The following is a 17,821-nucleotide window of genomic DNA, read 5'->3' on the forward strand; positions in this document are numbered from 1 at the left end:
GGTTCCCAGGCTAGAAGACAGACCAGATCTATTCATTCAGCAAGCATTAAAAATTCACTGCTTAATTAATACACCAATTGCTCCCTCCTTGCAAAGAGGAAGAACAGTTCAGCCCCATGGGCTGGCATCTTTGCCACTGAGGTCTGCACAAGATGCGGATGGTGAACACATGCTACGGCCATTTTGGATGTTTCCTTGTAGCATCAATGAGGAAAGAAAACAAAACTGTTAAAAATAAAACCTCTGCCACTATATCCTGAATTATATCAGCAAGCTCCTTTTTAACAAGATGTTATGTCCAGGAAATGTATCCATTTACTGATTGTTCCTGAAGAAATAACTTGTTCACTAGGAAATAACTTAAACCAGAAATGTGGGCTCTCATCTGATGTGGTTTATGCATCTCTAGGTGTTTTCAGTGTCTCTTGTCTATTTAATGGACTCCCAGAAGAGTAGGATGTCTACCTAAAAAGAAAAATTAACGTTTATACTCTCCTGATGATGTTTATGTGGAAGAAAACAAACATTTGTCAAATGTCTGTTTTTTATTTTATTTATTTATTTATTTAGAGATGGAGTTTCGTTCTTGTTGCCCAGGCTGGAGTGCAATGGTGCAATCTCGGCTCACTGCAGCCTCTGCTGCCCGGGTTTAAGCAATTCTCCTGCCTCAGCCTCCCGAGTAGCTGGGATTACAAGTGCCCGCCACTAGGTCCAGCTAATTTTTTGTGTTTTTAGTAGAGACGGGGTTTCACCACGTTGGCCGGGCTGGTCTTGAACTCCTGATGTCAGCTGATTGTCACTCATCCATTATACATCATTTAATCTGCCATGAGCTTAATAAGCATTATAGAGTCTAATCACCTAATGAGCACGCTCATGAAAGTGTCACCTTCATTGAATCATTTAACTCTCCTAGTAGCTCTATGAAGTACTATTATTACCCCCCAGCTTATAAGATAGGAAACTGAGGCTCTGAGAATAATCTGCCCAAGATCCTGTAAGTAGTAGGTCTAGAATTCAAGCCCAGCCTGATCTTTCTCCAAATCTACATTATTGTCCCTGAACCAAAACATTCTCAGGCCATGATCTTCTCCCCTGTCAGCAGAATCTGGAGCATCTCAGGGTTCATGTTGAATTACAAAGCCCTGCCCTAAAGCAGATTTATTGGAAGTCCAGTGCTTGTGAGAGTTATTCTGAAGGGAAAAAAAAATAAAATACATATATATATCTCAGAAAGCCTTCTCTGCCCAGGCCAATGCAGCCAGCTCCCTGCTTAAGAATAGCTGCCCATGGGCAGGGTTTCCTGGCCAGCAATTCAAGATGTGCCTGTGCCGGCTTTACTCTTTAATCTCAGTTTCCTCACCTTTAAAGTGGGTCCCACAAGCCCTGTCCTACAGGGCTGCTATAAGGATTTAATGTGATGAGAATCCTAACATAGCTAACAAAGTGCCTGGTACTGGGTGGTCAGTAAATGACAGTTATTGCTGCTATTACTTGGTAGACTCCCAAAAGTTATTCTCACATCCAGTGGAGGGAAGAGGAGGGAGCAATCCTCCCTTGGGGGTAGAGTATTTTGCATCAACAGGTTTTAGAATTTTTGGTGCAAGGTGAGAGTCAAAATCTAACAGACTTCGTTTATTATATTATTGCTTTTACGTTCTCTTCAGACAACGTACCCCCTTATTGCCTCTCCCTGGGCTGGGCCTCTCTATCCCTTCCCTCTCCCCACTCCCTGTGCTCCCACCTAGATCTCTTCCAAATTTCCCAGTAGAGAGGGAATAGAGAGGCAGTGGTGGTATCTTTCACCCCACATCCCAGTGGTGATCACAGCACTTCAGGGAAAAAGAAAGCAGCCTTCACACATATGGGCCTCCCTAAAAAGCTTCCCAGGAAAAAGGAAATGTGTGTGGAAAGGCCATAACTGGGAATGAATCATCTGTTAGGAAGGCTGAAGGAGAGGGAGAAAGGGGAGTGGCCGGAGGTGAGGCTGGAGAAGTAGGCAGGGCCCATCGCCTGGGGTGGTGCATACCTTGGGAAGAATTTTCAATTATCTTTAGTTCAGCAAGAAATTACAGACATGATTAGGGCCCATGCAAACATTCTGGAAGGGTCAAGGCAGGATGTGGGGGACCGGTGAGGAATCTCCTGCAGCAGTCAAGCAATGGTGGCCTGGAGAGGGAGTGGACGTCAGGATGGATAAGTGGATGGATTCATGCACTCGTCCTTAGGAGGAGGAATGCACAGGACTTGGTGACAGCTTAAGTGTAACAGGTGGTGGAGAGGAGAGGGTGAAGTCCGGCTTCTGGCCCAAGCAGCTTGGGGGACAGTGGTGCCCCTTCCTAAGACAGGGTGCATCTGAAGAGGAGAGACTCACAGGCTGAGGAAGGGGCTGGGGTGTGGGTTGGTCATGCATGTGGGAAGGTGCTGAGCCGAGTTATGCGTGTGTTGAGTCATCTAAGTGGAGATGCTAAGAAGGGGGCTGCATTTACAATCAGTTCTTCCAAAGAGGGGTCCAGATGAGATGCATGGAAACTAACACCAGGGGACGTGACACCTTCACCTAGGGGAAGACTACATTGTAAGAAGAGAAATCCTCAGACAGAGTCTAGGGAGCTGCGATCCTCAATAGCCAAGCAGAGGGGTGGTGGAGGCAGCAGAGAAGGCTATGCAGGAGAAGCCTGAAAAGCAGAGAGAAAACCAGGAGAGGCTGGTGCCTCAGAAGCCCAGGGAAGAAAACAAGATGCAGAGTTTTAAACTTCACAAAATGCCACTCAGAGGGCAAGAAAGACAAAGTTAGGACAATGTCACTGGCATTTATTAAGACGCAGGTCAGAGGTGCTCTTTTCAGGAGCAGGTGTGGCTGGGCATGCAAGGGCTGAAGCGGAGGAGGGAGGTGACACCATGCACACAGCCCAGGAGGCTGCCTCACTCACACCCCACTTGCTTAGCCCCACTCACTTAGCCTATTTCCTTCACAGCCATTATCTTAATGTGTGCTGTCTTGCTTCTTTGTTTACTTGTGAATTGCCTTCTTCCCTTAAGGTCTGTTAGGGCGAGCTCCTTGTCTGCTCTATTCACAGCTGTACCCCAGCACCTAGGAGGATGCTTGACACAGAACAGGGATTCAATACCTGTTGGGTATTGAATGAATGAAACAGAAGCAGAGTAAAGTCTGGCTAAGAAGTGAGGAGGGGGAGAGCTGCAAAGCCCAGAAACTACCCACAAGAATGAGCCAGTGGTGAGGAGGAGGGGTGGGTTACTGTCCCTGGGAAGTGGGACCCCCAGTTTAAGTGGAGGCTTAGGGCAGAATCCTGGACACTAAAAGGAATGCTTAAAAGGGAATTTGAGGCATTTTCTGGTCTGAAAGACATCCGGCCCACATTGCTTTCACTTAGGTCATGTTCCCCCAAAGGAAATCCTGAGATAAGGATTCCTAGATGAGTGATTCATTGAAGAAATGTCCCCAGAGTGGTCGGTAGGAGAGTGGAGAAGCAGGACAGAAAGGGGAGAGGCCAAGCCAAGCATGACCTCAGGCCACATCCCAGCCTCAGCCTGACCCCAGGGAGGGTCCTGGAATGTAAACCGAACCTCCTGCAAGTTTGTACACCCCCACCCCCCACTGCCAGGGCAAGGTGGCTGACCTTTCATATTCCCACCCTAATTAATATTGGCTACAGACTGTCATGGCCAGGACAGAAACTCCCAGCCACTCCAACTCTCTTGGCAAGAGGGTAATCCTTTGAAGAAGGCGATGGGGCAAAGCTTTAGAAACAGAGGCTACAGAAGCTGCAGGATGGGCACACAGAAGTGGCCGAAGTGATCCAACGCCATCTGAGCAGAGCGCCGGCAATGTCTGCTACTAAATTGGGATAGAGTTTTTTATGGATTACCCTGGAAGAGCACACCAAACAAACCACTTCATTCTGAGGGCCTGGACGGTGCAGGGATAGCTACCATTTAGAATCGTTTCAGTTTCTATTCCGGTAAAGAATCCTTCAAAGAAAGACATCGAGGCTCTTACAGTGCAGAGAGGTGCTCTTCTTGGACAACTATAGGGTGTGAACGTAGCACAGCTACTAAAAGTGAATGTGACACAACAATTAAGAGAGTATGGTGAGTATTTAGAAATACTTAGAAGTCAAAGCATAAAAAACTGGATAACTTGGGTTACATTCCTGAGACATGTTTATTATTATCACAGTACTGTGATATTGTAGAATCTGGAGAAATAAAATCAATTGAAATAAAATAAAATACATCTACCAACTACCATTTACTGAACACCTGCTATGGATCCAACTCTGTGCTAGAAATGAAGCAGCATCTCCCTTGCTCAAAGCTGATTTTCAGGCTGGGAACTAGATGGGGCTCCTGAAGCAATTCAAGAACAAGGCAAAAACAGATCTATGGAGGTCACATAGGATGATGATTAAGAGTTGAGCCAGGCTCAGCAACTGCCTAGGATCACTCCCATTTCTGCTGCCAGACTCTCTGTGCCTCAGTTTCCCCATCTGAAAAATTGAGATACTAAGAGTCTTTACTTCACAAGATTCCTGTGAAGGTAACAGGAGGTGATGTGTGCAAGGTCCTTAGTATGGTGCTGATGAATGCAGTGAGCACTGAGGCCTTGTTATTCTGCAATTATTACTGGAGGTGAGGCTAGAAAAGACCACACTTGCCCGACTTGTCCTACCTTTCTCTCCTCAGGAGGGACCAAGACATTTATGCCTGGTTATGAGGTGACATTAGAAAAGAAATCAAAAAGCATCTGTCCTTGTTTCTTGAAGCCAGATGCAACCAAGCTAAGCCTGAACCAAGAGTTGATGGGCAGCTGGGTGGTGTGCTCCTCTGTTGAGCTGGCCAGGAGCTAAGGCTGATGGCTTTCTGTCCAGGGAGCCGTTTAGACTCAGAGTACACACATGCTTGCCTCTTAAAAGAGTATTGGGTCAGCAAGGATGCACTGGGAAAGCCATCAGCATCTTTGCATCCCTACTGACCATTTCCTGCCCAGCACACTGGAGCCAGTGCTGACCATTTTCCTTTTTTTTTCTTTTTTTTTTTTTTTGAGACAGTCTCTTTCTGTCACCCAGGCTAGAGTGCAGTGATACAATCTTGGCTCACTGCAGCCACCTCCTGGGTTCAAGTGACTCTCATGCCTCAGCCTCCTGAGTAGCTGGGATTACAGGCATGTGCCACCATGCCCAGCTAATTTTTACATTTTTAGTAGAGATGGGGTATTGCTACGTTGCCCAGGCTAATCTCGAACTCATGGCCTCAAGTGATCTGCCTACCTCGGCCTCCCAAAGTCTTGGGATTACAGGCCTGAGCCACCGTGCCTGGTCCTGACCATTTTCTGATTGGCAGCAGCAGGAGGGCCCCAGGGTCAAACAATGCAGTCACACAGGCCTGTGCTTTAACTGTGCCTCCCCACACAGCTTGGTGACCCCGGGCCAGTGACTTTGACCTCTGAAGCCTCAATTCCCTTGACTGTAAAAGAGGTCCTGACCTTGGCTGCACATTAAAATCACTGGGGGAGTGTTTAAAAGTCCAAATACCCAGGGCTTGCCCAGACCAACAAAATCAGAACCCCCTGATGAGACCTACTGCTGTAAGGTAAAATGGTCATCTTCTACTCCCAGAAGTGGAATTAAGGGAGACTATCCATGGAAGGTGCTTACCGCCATGCTTTACACAGAGTGCGCCGTAAAAGGAGGCCGTGATATGGTACCATTTGGAGTTCCCAGACTCTAGAAACACCTCCCACAGGCCCACAGAGGATTGTACTTGAAACTTCATTCATTGTACTTTATGCCCCACTTTGGTGAGTATCAAAGATCAATTGTGCATTTTGATTTCTCTAGTTCTTTTGATCACCCTGGTCCACAATCATGTTATTCTTCAAGAGAGAAAATGGCCAGACCCAGGAAGTGCTTCTCTGGATTAAGGGCTGTGAGGTTAAATCTTTGTTTCCATCTCTGCCCTCAAGGACCTCCAATCCCCCATCCTAATAAGAGAGCTGCCATCCACAAGGGTCCTTGGCCCTTGGCTTGCAGAAGCGGGATGAGCATCTACAACCCTGGCTGTGATGAAGGCTGCCCTGACAGTTACATTCTTGATAGAGTTGCAGGACAAATATTTCTGAACCTGTGGTTCCTTTGCCGTGTCTCTAGTCAACATAGGGCTTTTAGCCCTGTGGAACATGAAGATTTTTGTGAACTAGGGTATAAGGATTTAAGAGTGTAGGTGGGGCCTCTCTAGGCCCTGCTTCCTACATAGTTGATGTGTCTGGACCCACAACTGAGAGAAGGAACAAAGCAAACAGGTGGGATCCCTTATAGTTTATAGTTATGTTTTTCAGAGTAACAGACATTCAGGGAAACAGAAACAGAACTTTAGCTCAAGCAGCAGGAGGGGGCAGCCAGCATCTGAGCTGGAAGAAGAGCTAGCAGGTGACAAAGGAAACAAGCACTCTCCATGCAGTGTTAAGGCAGTGCTTATCATCCAGTGGGAACTGGGGTGCCAGGGTGCCAGGCAACAGAGCAGTTGATGGAGACAGTTCCAGTGCCATTATGAGCTGTTAAAAGGGGATCTGACGTGTGCATTCCAGACCCTGATACTACTTCTTGTCCAGTCATTCAACAACATAGTATTCCCTATAGGCCCAGCATGTCTGTCTATGTATCTGATTTCACAATCCCATGACATAGGTACTGTTATCCTCACTTTGCAGCTGAGGAGACTGAGGCACATAGAGGTTAAGTAACTTGTCCAAGATCACACAGTTAGTATATGACAGAGTTGGGATTTGAACCCTGTGCTCTTAATTTCTATGCCAAATTGTCTCTAGCTTAGTGAGGGTGTCAAACAGGTCAACAGACAATTAGAATATAGTACAGTCTAAGTGACTGCTAGGGACTAGCACAGGTGGTGGCATCCAAAATCCCATTCTTATCTGATGCTCACTCATAGGAAGAAAAACAGAAGTACCCACCTGGTGACAGGCTAGCAGGCACAAGGATAGACAGAATGTGCACCTGAAGGAGTTCACCTAGGAGAGCTGAGGAGGCACAAAGACCTGCATGTGAGTGTTCGTGGCAGCTTCATTTACAATAGCCCAAATCTGGAAACAATCCAAATTTCTATCAACAGGTGGATGGATAAAAAATCTGTGGTGGCCAGGCGCGGTGGCTCACGCCTGTAATCCCAGCACTTTAGGAGGCCAAGGCAGGTGGATCATGAGGTCAGGAGTTTGAGACCAGCCTGACCAACATGGTGAAACCCCGTCTCTACTAAAAATAGGAAAAATCAGCCAAGCGTGGTGGCATGCACCTGTAGTCCCTGTAACTCAGGAGGCTGAGACAGGAGAATCACTTGAACCTGGGAGGTGGAGGTTGCAGTGAGCTGAGATCGCACCACTGCACTCCAGCCTGGGCAACACAGCAAGACTCTGTCTGAAAAAAAAAAAATCCTGTGGCATATCCAGACAATGGAATACCATTCAGCCACACAAATAATGAATTGCTGATCTACACAACATGGATGAATCTCAAAAGCACCATGCTAAGAGAAAGAAGCCAGAAGCAAAAAGGGTGCATATTTTATGATTTTAGCTATATGAAATTCTAGGAAAGGCAAAACTCTGGTTTTAGAAAACAGAGTTTTGCAAGGGGATGGGGGTAGGAGGGACGAACTAAGTGTGACAGGCATGAAGAAACTTTACGGGATGACGGGAATGTTCTATATTTTGATGGTGGTGATGGCTACACTGGTGCAGATACTTGTCAAACTCATTAAATTGTACACTTCAAAAGGTGAATTTTATTACATGTAAATTATACTCAATTTAGAAAATATTTTAACAAGAGACTTGATGTCATGCAGTCAAAAGTGAACTGTGCTATGCTCTGAAGCTAACGGTGAGAGTTACATACGTTCTGCTTCCTTTGTTTTTTGTTCCTTGTTCTTTCTTTCCCCCTTTCCTTTTTTTTTTTTTTCTCTCTCTCTCTCTCCCTCCTTTCTGTCTCTCCTCAAAGTCTACCACCTCCTTTTCCAAGCCAAGCCTAGGTGACAGGCCCCTGAGCTGCAAGTGTTTCCAGCACTGCCATTACAAATTAGTGGAAATGATCAGACCCCCAGGCAGACTGGTTCTCAGCCTGCTTCAGAGGGGCAGATGTTCTGCAAAACCAGCCAGTGACCCACAGAGAAGACTGGCAAGCCCGCAAGGCTCTCATTGGACCCCTCTGTGGCTTCTGCCTCCCAGGTAGAAAGCATGCATATATTAGATTTAAAAAGAGGAAGTGCCTTTCCAAAAACTACTCGGCTTTGGGAGGGATAGAGGTCATTTGTCTTTGTCCAAGAAAAACATGTTCCTTCCTTGTAATCCTTGATAACCCCTGAATTGTTTTCTCCAAGATAGTTAGGGACAGGGGTAGGGGAGAGGGGCTACAGTAAAAGAGAAAAGGAGGTAGAGAGGACAGAGGAAGCCAATGCCCTACTACTCTGCGGTAGCAGCAAGGTGAGCTCTTACCACCTTGAACTCTGGGAAAGATGGTAAAAGAGGGAACCCTTCACCAACCAGTGCCCACATGACTACCTAAGACAGCACCCATATGAGGTGCAACCATATGAAGGTTCACTTCTCGCTGGATGAGAAGTGAACAGAGAGGTTAACAGGGCAAAGAAGCAGCAGTAATGGGAAAAGAACGTGAGACTGGCACGGTTCCCTCCCCTGGGCCTGCGGGAGGCCCATGGCAGCCAGAATGTCCATCTGCTGTGCCCCACCACTAGTAGGCTCACAGGAAGGGAAGAGAACAATGACAACCCAACTGTCCCTTGCGCAGAAGTTACACCAAGAAGTGAGCAGCAGGACCCGCTGGCCTGGCAGTAAACCACATCAGAGTTATCAGTCGGAAACCTCTTGGACAAAGAGAGTTTATAAAGTCCCTTGGCCAAGAGGCATGGAAGTTGAGTTCAGCCAAGCGCAACTCAGACACATGGGCAATGGAAGGGGAGCTGGGGATGCCAGCTGCCATCCAAGTCCTGTTTGTTGGAAATTGAGAGAGATAGTATTGGAGAACTAGATGCTTTCACTTTATTTCTCCAAAAGAGAGCTGGTCTCCAGGTGGTGAAGCCTATAATTCTATAAAAACTGGAGATTGGAGAGATAGGAGGGTACAACTCTGGCCCAAGACAGAAATAAGCAAAAACAAAACAAAACAAAACAAAAAAATAGGCATCCATAAGAGAAAAAAGTGAGTGGTTCTGGGCATCTAGTAAGTGGAAGAGGAAAGAGACCATCTCTAATCCTAACTCACTCTGTTCCAGGTTTGGAATAAAAGCTGTATCGGGAGAAATAACCTGTTAAAGTAGAATTGTCAATGTGTAGAACTGAAAATCGGCCAAAAATCCATCAGCTTTCTCAATTTACTAAGAAAGAATAATTAACTCCCTAGTACCTGATATACTTTTGCATTTAAAGGCTAAACTACCTATATCTACTCAATATCATTCACTTCTAGTAAGACTCTTATTGGCAGGTTTAAAGCACCCCTACCCAACCCACTAGCACCAACTTGTCTTTTATCTTAGCCTGGAAAGAACATGTATGGGTTACATTACTAAGAACATAGTATCATTGAATGAATCATTAAATAGACCAGTCACTGTAATAAATACATGTGGATATATACATTCTGTTAATAGACTTGGCATAGTCTTTCATGGTTTCAAGTGTTAAGGTTTATTGTGGTATTAAAGAAAACCTTATAGACTTTCATTTTCTGAACGATAGTGGATTCAATATATAGCCAACTCTACTGAAAACACTAAGCAAACTGGATACTATAGAAAAACTCTTTTGAAATGACTGATGAGCTGGCAAGTTAGTAAGACGTATTCAGTGAGCAAAAACTAAGCAAAATCTGAAGCCTAGTATAAGAGCCAATCCCTGAAGCTAGCTTGAAGACAATAGCCAACAAAGTGACCTTCACTTTTATCTTTTGTGGCCTCACGGGAAGAGGAGACAGGATAAGAATTTCCCATAACATAAAGGATACTATCACATGGATCCAGGAACTCCAATGAATACCAAGTATGAGAAATAAAAATAAATATATACCTAGATACGCTTTGTGAAACTATAGAACACCAAACAATTTAAAGGAACCAGAAGGAAAACACAGATTATTCTCAAAGGAGACACTCTTGTCTGTAGACAAGACAGTAGATTTTAGAGGCAACAATGGAAACAGAGGACAGTTGAATAATATCTTCATTGTGTTGGAGAGAAAATAACTGGCAACCTAGAATTCTACCCTAATTCTACCCAGTAAAAACCTCTCTCAAAAACAAGGGGAAAAATAGTGTATTTGCAAGCAAACAAAATCAAGAAGTTGTCACCAACAGACCCTCAATAAAGAAAATTCTAAAAGCTGTACTTCAGGCTCTATTGGAAAATACCAAAATGAAGTTGGTAGACCTACATTAATATTAATCAGAATAGACTTAAAGACTAAAAGAATTACTAAGGAAACAAGTTTTGCTTAATTATAAAAGATTCAATTCACCAGAAAGATAAAACAATTCAAACCTATAGGTACCTAATAACAAAGGCTCAAAATATATAAAACACAAACTGACAGACCATAAGAAGAAACAGAAAAATCTACGATCATAGTGGGAGATTATAATACTTCTCTCAGTAACTGATTGAACAAGCATACAAACATCAGTAATGATATAAAAGACTTGGACAACACAGTGAAGAAGCTTGATCTGATAGAGTTACATAGAACACTGCATCTAACAATGGTAGGATCCACAGAACATTATGAAAAGTGACCACATACCAAGCCTTACAGTAAGCTTCAATAAATTTAAAAGGCTGGGTAGCACTCAAACAATATTTGACAACCATGAGGCAATTAAGTTAGAAATTAGTAACAAAAAGATAATAAGAAAAATAAACAAACATTCAGAGGATTAAAAAGAAACACAGCTTTAAGTCATAAGTCAAAGAATAAATCATAGTGAAAATTATAAAGTACTCAGAACCAAATTATATACAAATATTACATATCAAAATTTATGAAGTTAGAGTAAATATTGTATAGCTTACAATGCTCATAATGGGGAAAAAAGCCTGAAAATTAAAAAGCCAAACACTTACCTTAAAAAGCTAAGAAAGAAAAATAGCTCAAATGTAAATAAGTTAGATGGAAGAAAATAATAAAAATTAGTATAGACATTCATAAACTAGAAAACAAAAGATGGAGAGGATCACAAAGTCAAGGATTAGAGATAGTCTCTAATAACATTGAGAAAATTCTTAAAAGACCATTTAACAAAATTATAGAAGGTATTACAAATGAAAAGTGGACATAACCACAGATCCCACAGAACATTAAAAAATAACAGCATCTTATAAGTAGCTTCAAGGTAAAAATTTTGAAAACTCAGATAATATGGATAAATTTCTAGAAAAATCTAATTTACCAATATTGATTTAAGAAAAAAATTAAAACCTGAATACCCATGATCTATTGAAGAAATTGAATCAGAGGTTAAAAATCTTCAGGAAAGAAAGAACTCCAGCCTCACAGAATCTTTTTTTGAGAACAGATAAAGAGGAAATATTCTATAACTTACTTTACAAATTCAGCAAAACCATGATACAAAACCCTGCCAAGGATAAGATAAGAAGTGCAAATTACAGTACAACACACTCATGAAGATAGATATAAAACTTCTAAATTTTATTAGCAAAAAAACCTAGCAATGTATAAGAAATGAACCCATTACAACCAAGTCAGGTTTATTCTAGGAAAGCAAGGTTAAGTTAACATTGGAAAATTAGTTTACCAGATATTAACAAATTAAAGAAAAAAATTATATAAATCTCAATAAATGCAGAGGAAGTATTTAATAAACATCCATGTATATAATTTGAAAGAAAAAAAGCTCTTTGCAAACTACAGAACAGGAGTAGTTCCTTATCCTAATAAGGAATATCAAATCCATAAAAACTCTCATTCTCAAGGGAAAACGTTGAACATGAAAGGCAAAGCTTAAACGTTTAGAAGACCATACAAGAACTGTCCTTAAGGATGTCCTTTAAAAGACACAAAATGTTCAATGATAAAGGAAAGATTGATAAATTTTATTACATTGAAATTAAGAATTTCTGCCACTGTAAAGATACTAAAAAAGATGGTGAGAAAAAATAACACAAATAAGGAGAAGGTATTTTGGCAACACAGAGAAATAGTCTCCTGCATATATAAAGAACTCCTACAAATAAATAAGAGAGATGTAAACTACCCAATTTTCAAATAAATGGGCAAAAGGCTTAAAGAGGTACTTCACAAAAAAAGAAAATCCAAAAGGTCAACAGCGTATGAAAAGATACTGACCCTCTTTAGTAATCAAATGTATATAAATTGAAAGCAGATTAGATACTGTTACACATCCACAAGATGGGCAAAAGTTTTTGACAATATCCTACAAAATATAAAGTTTTTGCAAGATTAGAGAGCAGTAGGAGAAATTGCAGCTGGATATAGAAATTGGTTAAACACATTGGAAATTAATTTTTGATTAAAGTGAAACTCATATGACACCATAGAATTCTGAACTATCCTAGCAGCACTGAAAATGCCCATAGTCTGTGGCCAGTAATTTTATTACTATGTGTATTCCCTAAGTAAACTTACACACATACTTAGCAGGGAACTTGAAAAAAAATGTTTACAGCAGCACTATTTATAATAGCAAAATACTGGAAATAAGCTAAGTGTTCATTAATAATAGAATAGACATATAAACTGCCATATATTCATTCAATGGAATATTATGGTTCAGCAAAATGAAAAAATTTCAGCTACACCCAACAATGTGAATGAATCCAGGACGAAACATTTAACAACCAGTTGGTACAGAGTCCAATCAAATGAAGTCCCAGCCCTAGTGCCAGAGCTGGTACCCAAGACCCCCTGCCATGCCAGGTGTAATCCCTTTAGAAAGGAGTGGACTTGGAGAAGTACCATAGGAGCACCTGGGAAAGACCCAGGTAAGCAGCAATTTACCAACTGATATGGAAATATTCCCATTGTTTGTCAACCAGTGAGCCTTACTGGTGTGGTGTGCATGGACTAAACGTGAGCATTAAGAACAAAAGAATAAAACAGTGTGATTCCATTTATATGAAGTTCACAAACACGCATAACTAGACAATATATTGTTTAGGGATACAAATGCAAGAGGATAAGACAATAAAGAAAAGCATAGGGGAATAAAAGGTACAGAAATGTCCAGAAGATGGTAATCCCTGAGAAGAGAAGGAATGGGATAGGGTGGAGGGAGGTACACAGGGGATGTCAAAGGTTCAAGTAACATTCTTTTTCTCAAATTGACTGGTGAGTACATAAGTGTTAGTCATAATGTTATTCTTTAGACCTTTCTACACAGTTTGTAAGCATTCGTTTGCATCTAGGGGCTATTTCATTAAAGTTATTTCAAAAGATGGTCACAACACAAATTTAATAAGAAACTCTCATATCAAATTGCTGCAGTTCCTGCCATATCTTTTCTAGTTGCTGGGCAAAGATGCTCTCCTCAATTGTAATTGGTGTGCTCTTAAACCCACTTAAAATTCTAAGAGCTTCTCCCCAGACCACTCCAAAACATTCTTGTGAGAATCTTTCCAGTGAGGTACAGCAAGGCCCAACCTCCAGGGCACATTATGCTCTGGCTCATTTATTTGATACAATCATAATCATAGTGGGTTTTTTTCTCAAACTTTGAAATCTTCAAAATGAGGGCATGGAGCAAATGACTACATTCTGCTTCTCTTGCTAAGATTTCAATGGTGATGCTCTCATTTTAAGTTCTTTACCAGACGCTTCAGCTGTGCTATGCCCAATTCCCCTCATCAAGATTTGCTGACAGTCAGGGGAAGTTTCTAACACTGTATTAAGTGTATACTGAGGGCCAGGGAATTGGGGGGAGTTTGAGGGGCTGCACACATGTGCAATTTTTTAGCAAACCCAGCAGATGCTTGTAGATTCAACACTTTTTCAGTTATTTGTGAACAACCCCTAATAGCCACACCACATGGCAATTTGTCTTTTCTCTGGAGCACAAATGTGAACTGTATGTTGCAAAGCCACAGCAAAGAACAAGTCACTTAGCTAGAGAGGGAGTCTTCTCAAAGACCCAGTAACCCCATCCCAAGATGCCACCAGGGAAACAGAAACTCTCTGGAGGTGAAAGAAACTTAATTTCCTTGAGTGCAAATTGAAAAGGCAAATAATTGGTAGCCTGTGAATAGTCATAGGAACCTCTTCACTCTGGAATGGAACCTGATTCAGGAGGAAGTCAAGAGCCTATGCAAATATTTCTGCATTTGCAAACTTGGGGATTTGCCAAGGGCTTGAGATGTATCCACTGAAAATGTCAAGCGTCTACTGTGTAGAATTTTGATGGAGGAGGATTTCAAAATTCTTCTTCTATTTAAATCCAATCAATTCATGTTTATCAGGGCATCTCTGATCTTTTTGTTTTTAAGAGACATATTTGCTCTATTGTCCAGGCTGGAGTACAGTGATGTGATCATAGCCCATGGCAGGCTCAAACTCCTGGACTCAAGAGATCCTCCCGCCTCTGTCTCCTGAGTAGTTAGAATTACAGGTGTGAGCCACCATGTCCATAATTTTATTTTTATTTTTTTTAAGACAGGGTCTTGCTATGTCGCCCAGGCTGATCTCAAACTCCTGGGCTCAAGTGATCCTCCTGTGTCAGCCTCCTGAGCAGCTGGCATTACAGGCATGAGCCACTGTATCCAGCTCCTCTGATCTTAAGATAGTTTCAACATCTAATGCTAAGCCTGGAAGTCCAATGAAAGACTCAATAGACTAAAATTGGTGACTGAGATTCGGAGGAGCATATCGTGTGTTTATAACACTGCTTTTATTTTTTCCATATCTTTCTACTATTTGTTTATTAGCTTTTCTTTGGATCTCAGTTATTCATACATAACACATGTTTAAAAAGTTGATCCTAAACCCCAATTCAAGGGTCCACCGATGCTCAGAGATCTCAAGATTTCTGAGACTAGCTTCCCTATACTTCTCCCTGGCTTTGCTCCCCAAATCTGAAAGGCATTTTCAGATCACCCCTACTTCATATTTAGATATAAAGCTTCCCCCTTTATCCACAAGAATTCCAGCTGCACCTGGCATTTCAAAAACACTTAGTAATGAGGAGGGGAGACCCATCAGTCATGTACTCACCACTTCCATTGTTGTCCTGCCTCCCAAGCACATATTTCCAACTGTGAAACCTCCCAACAGGGCAGTCCTCTGGATAGTGTGGTTCAGTCACTTCCCACCACCATGCCTCACCTCCTCTGCCTTCCAAGCCCTCTGGGACTTCAGGGAATACCTTTTCTCCATCATATTACAATTAGATACAGGGAACCTTTGGAGAGTTCTGAGTATTTGTGATTATATTCAATAACCTGTTACTGACAGTTTCTTTTAGTTAAAGAATTTTTTCAAGTAAGTTACCAAAACAATGAATGTATGTACATCTAGAAACTGAGAAATACTCTTCCATGACTTTTAGTTAGGTCCTCACGTTTTCCACATATGTATTGAATTTTTAAAATACTATTTTAAAAGGGTCTACATTTATTTTCCTCTACTTTTGTTTTTCCTCTTGCCTTTGTTTTGGAGCAAATTTTAACTGAACACATTGTCAGAGGGTCAGGCCAAGTTTGGCACTGCTCGTGTATCTCAGCCACCTTCCAGTTTTCAGCACGATGTCTGAACTGAAAAAACACCATTGCTTACCATAAGGGTGTGGCCATGACAGCTTGAACAACATCCGGGTAGTGGTAAGTCTACATTTGCTACACAGATGTAAGAAACAGATAGCAGTAGGGTCTACCTCTCCTGCTCCATCTTTTCCATCACCAGGTCTCTTCCAACTCCAGAATTAAAGTCATCAAGTTGGAACAACTCTAAGTGTGTTTCCTGATCATAACAAGACAGGTTGAGGTTCATGAATATTTTCTTTAGTATTAAATGTTAGAACATAACCACTAATAATAACAGTAGCATAGTAGTTCCCTGATAAATTTTGACAAAAGATCATAAAGTTCTCAATTTCAACAGCAGGGCTTTATAGTTGTAATATAATTTTGACCAGTAAGCCACCGGCTATCCAGAAACCTCACAGGTGCCATTATCATGGATAGTTGCAGTTTTTTCTCTAAGAATCATGCAAAAAAAAAAAATCTTTTGGGGATACTTCAGAACTCTGTCTTTTTAAATTGGATGAACAAAATATAATTTTAACTTCTATGGATACATGTGGGTCATTGTGAGCATCAGTTACTATGTTATAAAACAGAGTACCAAAGATCCATCAAAATACATAAAATTTCACTGAATTGCTTACATTAAATGCTCATATCAGCTTTAGAATTCCATGCCTTGAATTCTTGTGCCTTTTAAATTTTTTTTTAGTTTTTCTGTTTTTTACTCTTACTTCTTACTGATACTTGATAAAAGAGCTTTAATAATCCTTGCACAGTACAGTATCAGTTGCTTCCAATTTGCTAGGTGCATTTGACAAACTAATAACCAAGCCTCTTAAAACTTGAAGTAAATGCAGAGGCCTGAAAGAGGGTATAAAATTTCCTCCAATGATCAAAATTCATAAACTGTAGCTCATGGACTTATGACCTTTCTCTTGATTTGCCATCTAGGTCCCAACTGGATAAGTGAAATTATGTAAATGTGAGTTCCAGATTGTTGTGGTATTATCCTAATACCTATCAACTACATAGCATGTTACTAAACGTATCTCATTTTTCTTCTCAAGATAGTTCAGTGGTCTTGGTAAGGTTATGATGGTTACACCTACTTTACAGATAAGGAAGAAAATTGGTCACGGGCTTTGGCCAAGTCTGACCCAGAATGCTAGTGCTGCCTGTTGATACAGCCAGTGTTTTCCAGCCCTGCCCGCCTAGTGCATCTGCAGATTTGTAAATACACTTTGACTCCACAGGAAACAGGATGGAGAACAGCATGTCAGGGACTCCTTGATGGGCAGGATGGAGGGCAAAAAAGAGCCTTAAAGACATTAGGGAATTCACAGAGTAGGGAGTGAGAGACAAGTTAAATGCTATCCAGTTGTCACACAGCTTTCTTAATGTTATCTTTCATCAAATCATGTCCTAGAACCTGCCAGGACTTCAGACTAAATGCATCTTCTTCTTGCCTGTACCTTTCACACACTAAATGTCTCAACAGCTCACTTGGCAAGGACCCAAAGGCAGCACACACTTCTCCACTCCAAGGAGGGTGGCTGCCACTAAACACAATGGGCGGAGACAGCTCAACAATAGTGCCAGTTGAGCACATCTTGATCCACTGCCACAGAGTTCACAGTAGTAGTTGGCCCTCAAAGCAAACCCACTGGGGTGTTGAGGGCAAAAAAACAATCTTAGCCTTAAGGGGCCAGACTTTGCCATCAAATTAACAAATCTGCCCAACAGCCCCAGGCTGAGGCGCTCAGGGGTGTGACAGGAGGGCCCCTGTTAACAATTCTGTATCCTGTGGGTGCCTTAACTAGATGGAGTGGAGAGGAAGCAGAGAGCTAAGTGTCACACCACCCTCTCCTCCTGCCTGCAGGTGTCTTAGTTGGACAGCTGTCCACCTTCCTTGCAAAAAACTCCCACAATCTTTAAATGCAACTATGTAAAGGGCCTCCAGCCTCTGCAAGCCATCACAACTTTAAAGAGCATATGTCAAACAGC

General features: G+C 41.9%; 1 protein-coding gene across 4 annotated transcripts in view, besides 1 other annotated feature; it reads right to left on the reverse strand.

The window, feature by feature from the left end:
- HIVEP3 (HIVEP zinc finger 3) overlaps positions 1-17,821 on the reverse strand; it is a 529,570-nt gene that overhangs the window by 392,490 nt on the left and 119,259 nt on the right. The window lies entirely within an intron of this gene.
- Positions 6,220-6,309: an enhancer, noted in NCBI's record as "active region_890". NCBI's record gives its function as "activates an Ori minimal core promoter by ATAC-STARR-seq in GM12878 lymphoblastoid cells {active_cell/tissue: GM12878}" and the evidence as "EXISTENCE:reporter gene assay evidence [ECO:0000049][PMID:35858748]".

The sequence above is a fragment of the Homo sapiens genome, chromosome 1, assembly GCF_000001405.40.
Source record: "Homo sapiens chromosome 1, GRCh38.p14 Primary Assembly".
NCBI lineage: Eukaryota > Metazoa > Chordata > Mammalia > Primates > Hominidae > Homo > Homo sapiens.